A 13,764-nucleotide genomic window follows, 5' to 3' on the forward strand; every position below is an offset into this window, starting at 1 on the left:
AACATCTTAGCTCACACTCAAACCTAAGAAATACAAAGATTTAAACTCACAATCCAGATGAGACAGGGCATATACAGAAGGATAAATGACAATAAGATATGCTGAAGTGTCAAACACATTCCAATGACAATAACTGCAAAAAGAAATTCAAAGGAAAGACTTCTAATGGTCTTAATGGTGCAGGTCTCACTGAGGAGGTAGAATCGAAATCAAAGCCATAAGTAGAGGAAAGGAGGAGAAAAGCCATTCAGAATAGGAAAAAGGCACAAGAAAAGATGAGCAAAGATGAAAAATGAATAATAGTTGGGCTATTTCTATACAAATGTAATAGAGAATATCATAGAGGTGGGAGGGATACATTGTACAAGAATCTTAAATGCTGTAACTCAACAGTATTCAAGATTTATTAAGCACCTTCTGCATATAAAGTACCAAACAAAGTAGGAAACAACAATCACGGGTGTTAAATAAACAGGAGAACTCAAAAAAAGTTACAATACAGAATATAAGACGTCAAATACAAGTAATGAGAAAGGAAATTAGAGCTAAATAGACATGAAGTAATTGCGCAATGGGAACACAGCTTGAATGTATTCCTTCCATGGAATTAGAGTATATGTTTTGTAAAGTCTTTTATCAAAATAAGGGGTTACGAGGTAAAACGAAAGGGTACGTCTCTTTGATAAGAATCCATTTCAAACTTAAAGCCTTCAGCCTTAGCTTAAAAAATGTTTCCATAGCTCTTGTGAGTTTCCGTTAGATCATTTCCTTTCAAAAGCTAAATGGAATATTATCTCTTTAGCTCATCACAGAAGGGTTATATTTCTTCAATGTATCTTCAATAATACTGGCTTAGAGTCCAAAAACTTAAGTTCAAATCCCTGCTGTTTATGAGACCCTGAGCAAGTCATTTACCCTATTAAGGCTTTCGTTTCCTTACCTATGAACTGAAAACACAATATTACAGATTTGACACAAAAATTAAATGAAAGGAAAGTGAAAACACTAGTGGAGAGCTTGGCTCATAAAGATAATTTTCTTCTGTGTATAGCATTTATACTTCAGCATAAAAAAGTCTTTTTTTTACATTTATGAAAAGAGTTTTTTTAATGACTTTCTATGAACCCACAAATGCAATACTTTCAATATGGCAAATGCTAAAATGAATCAAGATGAAAAAATAACTAATATTTTTAAACTAATCTGAAACTGGTACAGGTAAAAAAGGAAACTTCTTTTTTTTCATGTTGCCTTTTTTCTTTTTTTATTTTTTAAATTTATTTTATTATTATTATACTTTAAGTTTTAGGGTACATGTGCACAATGTGAAGGTTTGTTACATATGTATACATGTGCCATGCTGGTGTACTGCACCCATTAACTCATCATTTAGCATTAGGTATACCTCTTAATGCTATCCCTCCCCCCTTCCCCCACCTCACAACAGTCCCCAGAGTGTGATGTTCCCCTTCCTGTGTCCATGTGCTCTCCTTGTTCAATTCCCACCTATGAATGAGAACATGTGGTGTTTGGTTTTTTGTCCTTGCGATAGTTTACTGAGAATGATGATTTCCAATTTCATCCATGTCCCTACAAAGGACATGAACTCATCATTTTTTATGGCTGCATAGTATTCCATGGTGTATATGTGCCACATTTTCTTAATCCAATCTATTGTTGTTGGACATTTGGGTTGGTTCCAAGTCTTTGCTATGGTGAATAGTGCCACAATAAACATACATGTGCATGTGTCTTTATAGAAGCATGATTTATATTCCTTTGGGTATATACCCAGTAATGGGATGGCTGGGTCAAATGGTACTTCTAGTTCTAGATCCCTGAGGAATCGCCACACTGACTTCCACAATGGTTGAACTAGTTTACAGTCCCACCAACAGTGTAAAAGTGTTCCTATTTCTACACATCCTCTCCAGCATCTGTTGTTTCCTAACTTTTTAATGATCGCCATTCTAACTGGTGTGAGATGGTATCTCATTGTGGTTTTGATTTGCATTTCTCTGATGGCCAGGGATGATGAGCATTTTTTCATGTGTTTTTTGGCTGCATAAATGTCTTCTTTTGAGACATGTCTGTTCATATCCTTTGCCAACTTTTTGATGGGGTTGTTTTTTTCTTGTAAATTTGTTTGAGTTCATTGTAGATTCTGGATGTTAGCCCTTTGGCAGATGAGTAGGTTGCGAAAATTTTCACCCATTTTGTAGGTTGCCTGTTCACTCTGATGGTAGTTTCTTTTGCTGTGCAGAAGCTCTTTAGTTTAATTAGATTCCATTTGTCAATTGTGGCTTTTGTTGCCACCGCTTTTGGTGTTTTAGACATGAAGTCCTTGCCCATGCCCATGTCCTGAATGGTATTGCCTAGGTTTTCTTCTAGGGTTTTTATGGTTTTAGGTCTTACATGTAAGTCTTTAATCCATCGTGAATTAGTTTTTGTATAAGGTGTAAGGAAAGGATCCAGTTTCAGCTTTCTACATATGGCTAGCCAGTTTTCCCAGCACCCTTTATTAAATAGGGAATCCTTTCCCCATTGCTTGTTTTTCTCAGGTTTGTCAAAGATCAGATAGTTGTAGATATGCGTCATTATTTCTGAGGGCTCTGTTCTGTTCCATTGATCTATATCTCTGTTTTGGTAACAGTACCATGCTGTTTTGGTTACTGTAGCCTTGTAGTATAGTTTGAAGTCAGGTAGCGTGGTGCCTCCGGGTTTGTTCTTTTGGCTTAGGATTGACTTGGCGATGCGGGCTCTTTTTTGGTTCCATATGAACTTTAAAGTAGTTTTTTCCAATTCTATGAAGAAAGTCATTAGCAGCTTGATGGGGGTGGCATTGAATCTGTAAATTACTTTGGGCAGTATGGCCATTTTCACGATATTGATTCTTCCTACCCATGAGCATGGAATGTTCTTCCATTTGTTTGTATCCTCTTTTATTTCCTTGAGCAGTGGTTTATAGTTCTCCTTGAAGAGGTCCTTCACATCCCTTGTAAGTTGGATTCCTAGGTATTTTATTCTCTTTGAAGCAATGGTGAATGGGAGTTCACTCATGATTTGGCTGTTTGTCTGTTATTGGTGTATAAGAATTCTTGTGATTTTTGTACATTGATTTTGTATCCTGAGACTGCTGGAGTTGCTTAACAGCTCAAGGAGATTTTGGGCTGAGATGATGGGGTTTTCTAGATATACAATCATGTCATCTGCAAACAGGGACAATTTGACTTCCTCTTTCCCTAACTGAATACCCTTTATTTCCTTCTCCTGCCTAATTGCCCTGGCCAGAACTTCCAACACTATGTTGAATAGGAGTGGTGAGAGAGGGCATCCCTGTCTTGTGCCAGTTTTCAAAGGGAATGTTCCCAGTTTTTGCCCATTCAGTATGATATTGGCTGTGGGTTTGTCATAGATAGCTCTTATTATTTTAAGATACGTCCCATCAATACCTAATCTATTGAGACTTTTTAGCATGAAGCGTTGTTGAATTTTATCAAAGTCTTTTTCTGCATCTATTGAGATAATCATACGGTATTTGTCTTTGGTTCTGTTTATATGCTGAATTACATTTATTGATTTGCGTATGTTGAACCAGCCTTGCATCCCAGGGATGAAGCCCACTTGATCATGGTGGATAAGCTTTTTGATGTGCTGCTGGATTCGGTTTGCCAGTATTTTATTGAGGATTTCTGCATCAATGTTCATCAAGGATATTGGTCTAAAATTCTCTTTTTTGGTTGTGTCTCTGCCCGGCTTTGGTATCAGGATGATGCTGGCCTCATAAAATGAGTTAGGGAGGATTCCCTCTTTTTCTATTGATTGGAATAGTTTCAGAAGGAATGGTAGTACCCGTTCCTCCTTGTACCTCTGGTAGAATTCGGCTGTGAATCCATCTGGTCATGGACTCTCTTTGGTTGGTAAGCTATTGATTATTGCCACAATTTCAGAGGCTGTTATTGGTCTATTCAGAGTCAACTTCTTCCTGGTTTACTCTTGGGAGGGTGTATGTGTCTACGAATTTATCCATTTCTTCTAGATTTTCTAGTTTATTTGCGTAGAGGTGTTTGTAGTATTCTCTGATGGTAGTTTGTATTTCTGTGTGATCGGTGGTGATATCCCCTTTATCATTTTTTATTGCATCTATCTGATTCTTCTCTCTTTTCTTCTTTATTAATGTTGCTAGCGGTCTATCAATTTTGTTGATCTTTTCAAAAAACCAGCTCCTGGATTCATTGATTTTTTGAAGGGTTTTTTGTGTCTCTATTTCCTTCAGTTCTGCTCTGATTTTAGTTATTTCTTGCCTTCTGCTAGCTTTTGAATGTGTTTGCTCTTGCTTTTCCAGTTCTTTTAATTGTGATGTTAGGGTGTCAATTTTGCATCTTTCCTGCTTTGTCTTGTGGGCATTCAGTGCTATAAATTTCCCTCTACACACTGCTTTGAATATGTCCCAGAGATTCTGGTATGTTGTGTCTTTGTTCTCGTTGGTTTCAAAGAACATCTTTATTTCTGCCTTCATTTCATTATGTACTCAGTAGTCATTCAGGAGCAGGTTGTTCAGTTTCCATGTAGTTGAGTGGTTTTGAGTGAGTTTCTTAATCCTGAGTTCTAGTTTGATTGCACTGTGGTCTGAGAGACAGTTTGTTATAATTTCTGTTCTTTTACATTTGCTGAGGAGTGCTTTACTTCCAACTATGTGGTCACTTTCGGAATAAGTGTGGTGTGGTGCTTAAAAGAATGTATATTCTGTTGATTTGGGGTGGAGAGTTCTGTAGATGTCTATTAGGTCTGCTTGGTGCAGAGCTGAGTTCAATTCCTGGGTATCCTTGTTAACTTTCTGTCTCGTTAATCTGTCTAATGTTGACAGTGGGGTGTTAAAGTCTCCCATTATTATTGTGTGGGAGTCTAAGTCTCTTTGTAGGTCACTCAGGACTTGCTTTATGAATCTGCATGCTCCTGTATTTGGTGCATATATATTTAGGATAGTTAACTCTTCTTGTTGAATTGATCCCTTTACCATTATGTAATGGCCTTCTTTGTCTCTTTTGATCTTTGTTGGTTTAAAGTCTGTTTTATCAGAGACTAGGATTGCAACCCCTGCCTTTTTTTGTTTTCCATTTGCTTGGTAGATCTTCCTCCATCCCTTTATTTTGAGCCTATGTGTGTCTCTGCACATGAGATGGGTCTCCTGAGTACAGCACACTGATGGGTCTTGACTCTTTATCCAATTTGCCAGTCTGTGTCTTTTAATTGGAGCATTTAGTCCATTTACATTTAAAGTTAATATTGTTATGTGTGAATTTGATCCTGTCATCTTGATGTTATCTGGTTATTTTGCTCATTAGTTCATGCAGTTTCTTCCAGCCTTCATGATCTTTATAATTTGGCATGTTTTTGCAGTGGCTGATACCAGTTGTTCCTTTCCATGTTTAGTGCTTCCTTCAGGAGCTCTTTTAGGGCAGGCGTGGTGGTGACAAAATCTCTCAGCATTTGCTTGTCTGTATAGTATTTTATTTCTCCTTCACTTATGAAGCTTAGTTTGGCTGGATATGAAATTCTGGGTTGAAAATTCTTTTCTTTAAGAATGTTGAATATTGGCCCCCACTCTCTCCTGGCTTGTAGAGTTTCTGCCAAGAGATCAGCTGTTAGTCTGATGGGCTTCCCTCTGTGGGTAACCCGACCTTTCTCTCTGGGTGCCCTTAACATTTTGCCTTCATTTAAACTTTGGTGAATCTGACAATTATGTGTCTTGGAGTTGCTCTTCTCGAGGAGTATCTTTGTGGCGTTCTCTGTATTTCCTGAATCTGAATGTTGGTCTGCCTTGCTAGATTGGGGAATTTCTCCTGGATAATATCCTGCAGAGTGTTTTTCAACTTGGTTTCATTCTCCCCGTCACTTTCAGGTACACCAATCAGACGTAGATTTGGTCTTTTCACATAGTCCCACATTTCTTGGAGACTTTGTTCGTTTCTTTTTATTCTTTTTCCTCTAAACTCCCCTTCTCGCTTCATTTCATTCATTTCATCTTCCATCACTGATACCCTTTCTTCCAGTTGATCACATCGGCTCCTGAGGCTTCTGCATTCTTCACGTAGTTCTCGAGCCTTGGCTTTCAGCTCCATTAGCTCCTTTAAGCACTTCTCTGCATTGGTTATTCTAGTTATACATTTGTCTAATTTTTTTTCAAAGTTGTTAACTTCTTTGCCATTGGTTTGAATTTCCTCCTGTAGCTCGGAGTAGTTTGATCGTCCGAAGACTTCTTCTCTCAACTCGTCAACATCATTCTCCGTCCAGCTTTGTTCCACTGCTGGTGAGGAACTGCATTCCTTTGGAGAAGGAGAGGCGTGCTGTTTTTTAGATTTCCAGTTTTTCTGCTCTGTTTTTTCCCCATCTTTGTGGTTTTATCTACTTTTGGTCTTTGATGATGGTGATGTACAGATGGGTTTTTGGTGTGGATGTCCTTTCTGTTTGTTAGTTTTCCTTCTGACAGACAGGACCCTCAGCTGCAGGTCTGTTGGAGTTTGCTAGAGGTCCACTCCACACTGTTTGCCTGGGTATCAGCAGTGGTGGCTGCAGAACAGCGGATTTTCGTGAACCGCGAATGCTGCTGCCTGATCGGTCCTCTGGAAGTTTTGTCTCAGAGGAGTACCCGGCCGTGTGAGGTGTCAGTCTGCCCCTACTGGGAGGTGCCTCCCAGTTAGGCTGCTCGGGTGTCAGGGACCCACTTAAGGAGGCAGTCTGCCAGTTCTCAGATCTCCAGCTGCGTGCTGGGAGAACCACTACCCTCTTCAAAGCTGTCAGACAGGGACATTTAAGTCTGCTGTCTTTTTGTTTGTCTGTGCCCTGCCCCCAGAGGTGGAGCCTACAGAGGCAGGCAGGCCTCCTTGAGCTGTGGTGGGCTCCACCCAGTTCGAGCTTCCTGGCTCCTTTGTTTACCTAAGCAAGCCTGGGCAATGGTAGGTGCCCCTCCCCCAGCCTGGCTGCCGCCTTGCAGTTTGATCTCAGACTGCTGTGCTAGCAATCAGCGAGACTCCGTGGGCGTAGGACCCTCCGAGCCATGTGTGGGATATAATCTCCTGGTGTGCCGTTTTTTAAGCCCGTCGGAAAAGCGCAGTAGTGGGGTGGGAGTGATTGGATTTTCCAGGTGCCGTCTGTCACCCCTTTCTTTGATTAGGAAAGGGAACTCCCTGACCCCTTGCACTTCCCGAGTGAGGCAATGCCTCGTCCTGCTTTGGCTTGCGCATGGTGCACTGCACCCACTGTCCTGCACCCACTGTCTGGCACTCTCTAGTGAGATGAACCCGGTACCTCAGATGGAAATGCAGAAATCACCCATTTTCTGCGTCGCTCACGCTGGGAGCTGTAGACCGGAGCTCCTCCTATTCGGCCATCTTGGCTCCACCCTCAAAAGGAAACTTCATATACTAAATTCATGTGATTAATGACATGCTCTTCAAATCTATGATATGCAGAGTTTTTATACCACACGTATGAAATAAGATTCCTGAAAAGTTGCTTACACAGTAAGTTGACAAATCATATTATTGGCCATAAAAATGTTACATTTACAAAAACCTCAAGGTCAAATTAGTGTGGGTGAGAATTAACTACTACAAATAATGGGAACTAGAAAATTCAGTTACTCAACAAATATTTGTTGTTAGCCTACATAGTGCCTAGTATCACACACTATTCTCTAAAGTTTCTCTTCTGTCATAGGGCAGAAGAGTTCAGAAATAAATACAAATAATTCAAATGGAATTAGCTGAGAAGTAGTTGAGAATAAGGACCATAGGACAGAAGCACAGTGCAGGTACAACTTGCAGGATGGCCAGAGGAAAGTATGGTTCTGAAAGGGGAAAAAGTAGATATGGGTAACTGAAATCACTTTCTCAATCTTGCCAAGAACATTCCTTAGTGAATCTTACATCAAGTAAAAGATCAATTCCTATCTTATCTGATTTAAACATTCATATGTGCACTATCTGATTTGGTTTAAGTAAGATGTACTTTTTTTACACTGAAGCTGAATTTGAAAGATATTCTAAAATAATACAATAAGAAAATAATTCCCAAATATATCAGATCTTGAGGGGAACCCCTCCCCTCTTAGACCACTGTTCTATTCACTTACATATAGAAAACTTTTTAAATCCTCACAACAACCTTATAAGGTAGACGTTTTTATTATCTGTACTTTATTGGTAAGAAAATAAAAGCAAAATCAAACAGCTGTTAAGCAGTGGGGGTTCCAGACCAATTATATATGAGGGATCTATGGCAGAAACAAATTGCAAACTCTCATAGCCCAAGCCTAACAGGATTTCTACAAGGAAAGTCCCACAAAGGATGGGCTCACGATATGATTTACCAATAATCCAATATACACAGCTAAGGAACAAACTGACAAACTTTCTGAGAAAGAAAGAAAACATTCCCAACTAAAGTTATAATGTGATCACAACAATGCTACCAAATCATTCAAGGACAGTACAAGAAAGGATAATTATAGGCCACCCTCAATTGTGGCCATATATGGAAAAATTATAACTAAAATATTTTAATTCAGGAATGTTAAAGAATAAGCTAGAAGAACACAACATGACAAGGCAGTTTATTCAAATAATACAAGGATGGATTATCATTAGAAAATTTATCAATTCACCATAAAAAAAATTATCATCTCAACAGGTGCTGGAAACAGCATTTGGTAATATTCAATATCCATTCATTGAATATGTATCTATATAGATAGATAGATAGATAGATAGATAGATAGATAGATAGATAGATATTCAAACAAGGAATTTCAAGGGAACTTCCTTAACTTGCTAAATGATAGCTAACAAAACCTTACTGCAAATAATATTTATTTTTTATTTACTGCATATAATATTTATATGTGTGGAAATTTATAGATGATCCTATCAAAGACAAGAATACACACTACATTAGTCTACACTACAGCATGTTAGGCAATACTGCAGTAGCAAATTAAGTTTGAAATCAGTGGCTGGACATCATAAACGTTCATTTTTCCTCCACTATATGGTAACACAGTTTAGCAAGAGAAATTATACAAAACTGCCCAAGGACTTATGCTGATAAAACATGCTAAACAAATTATAACTGTACTATCTAGAACCTGAAGCTTCATTGTCACTGTAACAAGAGTGTTTGCATTAGTCCATTTTCATGCTGCTGATAAAGACACACACGAGACTGGGAAGAAAATGAGGTTTAATTAGACTTACAGTTCCATATAGCTGGGGAGGTTTCGCAATCATGGCTGAGGGTGAAAGGCACTTCTTACAGGGTGGTGGCAAGAGAGAATGAGGAAGAAGCAAAAGCAGAAACCCCTGATAAACCCAACAGATCTCATGACACTTATTTACTATCATGAGAGCAGCATGGGAAAGACAGGCCCCCATGATTCAATTTCCTTCCCCTAGGTCCCTCCTACAACATGTGGGAATTCTGGGAGATACAATTCAAGTTAAGATTTGGATGGGAACACAGCCAAACCATATCATTCCACCCCTGGCACCTCCAAATATCATGTCCTCACATTTCAAAACCAATCATGCCTTCCCAACAGTCCCCCAAAGTCCGAACTCATTTTAGCATTAACCCAAAAGTCCACAGTCCAAAGTCTCATCTGAGACAAGGCAAGTCCCTTCTGCCTATGAGCCTGTAAAACCAAGAACAAGCTAGTTACTGCCTAGACACAATGGGGGTACAGGTATTGGGTAAATACAGCTGTTCTAAATGAGAGAAACTGGCCAAAACAAAGGGGTTACAGGGCCCATGTAAGTCTGAAATCCAGTGGAGCAGTCAAAGCTTAAAGCTCCAAAATGATCTCCTTTGACTCCATATCTCACATCCAGCTCACACTGATGCAAGATGTGGGTTCCCATGGTGTTAGGCAGCTCCACCCCTGTGGTTTTGCAGGATATAGTCTCTCTCCTGCTGCTTTCACGGGCTGGCATTGTGTCTGTGGCTTTTGCAGGCGCATGGTGCAAGCTGTCAGTAGATCTACCATTCTGGGATCTGGAGGATGGTGGCCCTCTTTTCACACTCCACCAGGCAGTGCCCCAGTAGGGACTCTGTGTGGGGGCTCCTCTGCACTGCCTTAGCACAAGTTCTCCATGAGGGCTCCGCCCCTGCAGCAAATTTCTGCCTGGGCATCCAGGAGTTTCCATACATCTTCTGAAAACTAGGCAGAGGTTCCCAAACCTCAATTCTTGACTTCTGTGCACTCACAGGCTCAACACCACATGGACGCTGCCAAGGCTTGGGGCTTCCACCCTCTGAAGCCAGAGCCCAACCTGTAAATTGGCCCCTTTAGCCATGGCTTTAGTGGCTGAGACACAGGGCACCAAGTCCCTAGACTGCACACAGCACAGGGACCCTGGGCCCAGTCCATGAAATCACTTTTTCCCACTGGACCTCTCGGCCTGTGATTGGGAGGGGCTGCCATGAAGGTCTCTGACATGACCTGGAGACATTTTCCCTGTGGTCTTGGGGATTAACACTAGGCTCCTTGCTACTTATGCAAATTTCTGCAGCTGGCTTGAATTTCTCCCCAAAAAACAGGTTTCTCTTTTCTATCGCATAGTCAGGCTACAAATTTTCCAAACTTTTATGCTCTGCTTCCCTTATAAAACAGAATGCCTTTAATAGCACCCAAGTCACCTCTTGAATGCTTTGCTGCTTAGAAGTTTATTCTGCCAGATACCTTAAATCATCTTTCTCAAGTTCAAAGTTCCACAAATCTCTAGGGCAGGGGCAAAATGCCGCCACTCTCTTTACAAGAGTCACCTTTATTCCAGTTCCCAAAAAGCTTCTCATCTCCATCTGAGACCACCTCAGTCTGGATTTTATTGCCCATATCGCTATCAGAATTTTTGCCAAAGCCATTCAACAAGTCACTAGGAAGTTCCAAACTTTCCCACATTTTCCTGTCTTCTTCTGAGCCTTCCAAACTGTTCCAACCTCTGCCTGTTACCCAGTTCCAAAGTCGCTTCCACATTTCCGGGTATCTTTTCAGCAACGCCCCACTCTACTGGTAACAATTTACTGTATTAATCTGTTTTCCACTGCTGATAAAGACATACACAAGACTGGGAAGAAAAGGAAGTTTGACTTACAGTTCCACATGGCTGGAGAGGTTTCACTTTCATGGCTGAGGGCAAAAGGCACTTCTTACATGGCGGCAGCAAGAGAGAATGAGGAAGAAGCAAAAGCAGAAACCCCTGATAAACCCCTCAGATCTCTTGACACTTACTTACTATTAGGAGAATAGCATGGGAAAGACCGGTCCCCATGATTCAATTACTTCCCCCTGGGTCCTTCCCACAACATAGGGGAATTCTGGGAGATACAATTCAAGTTGAAGTTTGGGTGGGGACACAGCCAAACATATCAATGTTTATATTAACTCTCTTATGCTTTGCTCTGGAACTGATCCACATAATTTCCATGCACAGTCTATTGGCTAGAACTAGGCCCCATCTACCTGCAATTAGGCTTAGAAGTATGGGAAAGTGTGTGTATAGCCGATAAGTAAGAAATGTCTCTGCCACATTCACTATTGCCACTTTTATTTGCAGTATTGAAGATCCTGGTAAGCTGAGACAAATATTATGAAAGGCAAAAATAAAATTCTTTATATGTAGATGATAAGTTTACCTCTATAAAAAAATCCAAGAACATCTATTACAAGATTATCATGCAAAAATCAATTCCAAACCTATACATCAGTAAAACAACAAAAATGTAATTTTATAAAAAAAAAAAAGAAGTCCATTCACAATAGGAACAAGCCATAAAGTTTCTAGGAATATGTCTAATAAACAATGTACAACACACTAATGGAAAAACATATAACTTTGGTGAGACATGAGAACTGAGACCATTTGCATTCATATGGCTTAACTATCAGAACAAAGAACTAAGACCTACCTACTACAACATGACATTCTCATGAGTTCCTCAATTCTTGCCCAGGAAAATAAAGCTATAAACCAGTAAATAACTTGGTTATTTTCTTCAAGACCTTCCCATAAATCATTTACCTGAGCAACAGACTGCTCAATCATCAATCACCTACCTTTTCCAAACAACAGATTCTGAATCCTGGCAAACAGTTCCCTTCTTATGACAATAGATCACTCAACTGAACAAATTCCTTCCTTATCAAAATAGTGTTTACTTGTCAAGACTTTCTTTAAGACTCATGCCTTAATTCCATTAATCCTAAACTTTTATATCACAAACTTTGCCTACTAGAATCCCACACTGAAAGCTCTCTTAAAACACTCAAGCCTAGTTCCCAAAACCATATAAATATCAGCCATTAACCTGCCTCTTTCAGAGACAACACTAAGACTGTCAAGGTAGTGCTCTCCCATACTGTATTATGTCATAAACTCAGCTTTGCATATCAACAGGTTATTCAGTTACTGTGATGTACTTCTGACCAGATGGCAGCTGACAATCCTAGAAGTCCAATAAGATCAAATAGGCCCTTTTGCTGCCACAGCTAAGATCTTCAACTTAGAAATACCAAATTCCTCTGTGACTTCTTTTAGCCTCTCTCTTCAGGGATCTCTCTGGCTATAATGGTGAACTGGGTCTTGGTACTGAGTCTCAGCTCCAATTTCCTTTGGTTAAGCTCTCAATCACTGAGTTTCCCTGTCTTTCAGAAATGCAGAAGACTTTCAGTAATCTATTAATTGCAAATTTGTATGCCAGGGAGAAATCTGTCTCATTACTAACAATACTAATATGTATCTCTTTGTCTTTGTCACTTTTTGAGGGGAGTCTATAAAAGAAAGTTCCTAGAGAAGTGAACAGATAAAAGCCACTAACCCATTTTTGAGCCAGGCCCAAAGACTCACAGGTTCAGTTGTTCTCATTGTACCAACATCCTTATAATAAAATCTTTGCCCTGGGTCACTTGTCAAAATATCATGAAAACGTTCCTCTGTTTTGTTTTGTATTTTTTTTTAATTGTTTTCTTCATGAGAGAAATTTCCTCTGGGAGAGACTGCCTCCAAATCTCCCATGTTTCTAGAATTGCAAATCTGTCCAGTCTTCAATTTGAAATAAGCAACTATTAAAATGAGGGCAAAGACAAAATGCACACAAGTAATATATTTGACCAACACCGCCAGACTCATGGATTTATTTCAGTCTAGGTCCATGCCCCTTCCAAGTTATATTCAAGCTTCCTACATGTATACATACTAGAACTTTAAATTATACACTTATTTTTCTAAACAGCATGATTTCACCAAGGATATTTTAGACTTGCAATGGCAACTTTGGATAATTTTTTATATAAATAAAACTGTTTGAAAGGTACCTTAAAATGGAAAGAAGCAAAATCTCATACATCCAATGGTCTATATTTCCTAATTGCTATGACAAAATTTATTTTTTAATCCAGATTCTAAAAATTCCTTCCTTAAAAGATTTGCTAGCCAAGGCAAATTAAAAATATAAAATGTTAAAACCATTTGCCTTTCAGATGCCTTCACATTCTAATTTGAAAGATACAGCATTTATCCCACTATTCCTTATCTCCTGTGTTATGTTCCTCCATCACCCTCAGGCCTCTATCCTTCCTCTTGCCTGCTTTCCTTTCCATCTGACCTGCTAGAAACAAAAGTTCAGTAACTTCTTAAAGGTAAATCCCCTTCAGAATGGGACAAGTGTCATGTGGTTGAGTTTTAAGCACTGGTCTGTTGATTTTTAAGC

At 39.5% G+C, this 13,764-nt stretch overlaps 1 protein-coding gene across 20 annotated transcripts in view, besides 1 other annotated feature; it reads right to left on the reverse strand.

Annotated features, from left to right (window-relative positions):
- Positions 1 to 13,764, reverse strand: part of SPATA6 (spermatogenesis associated 6) — a 210,816-nt gene that overhangs the window by 101,135 nt on the left and 95,917 nt on the right. The window lies entirely within an intron of this gene.
- Positions 6,499 to 6,999: an enhancer, noted in NCBI's record as "H3K4me1 hESC enhancer chr1:48834694-48835194 (GRCh37/hg19 assembly coordinates)". NCBI's record gives its function as "activates a minimal SCP1, AML or CMV promoter by ChIP-STARR-seq in primed H9 embryonic stem cells {active_cell/tissue: H9 hESC(primed)}" and the evidence as "EXISTENCE:reporter gene assay evidence [ECO:0000049][PMID:30033119]".

The sequence above is a fragment of the Homo sapiens genome, chromosome 1, assembly GCF_000001405.40.
Source record: "Homo sapiens chromosome 1, GRCh38.p14 Primary Assembly".
NCBI classification, from domain to species: Eukaryota; Metazoa; Chordata; class Mammalia; order Primates; family Hominidae; genus Homo; species Homo sapiens.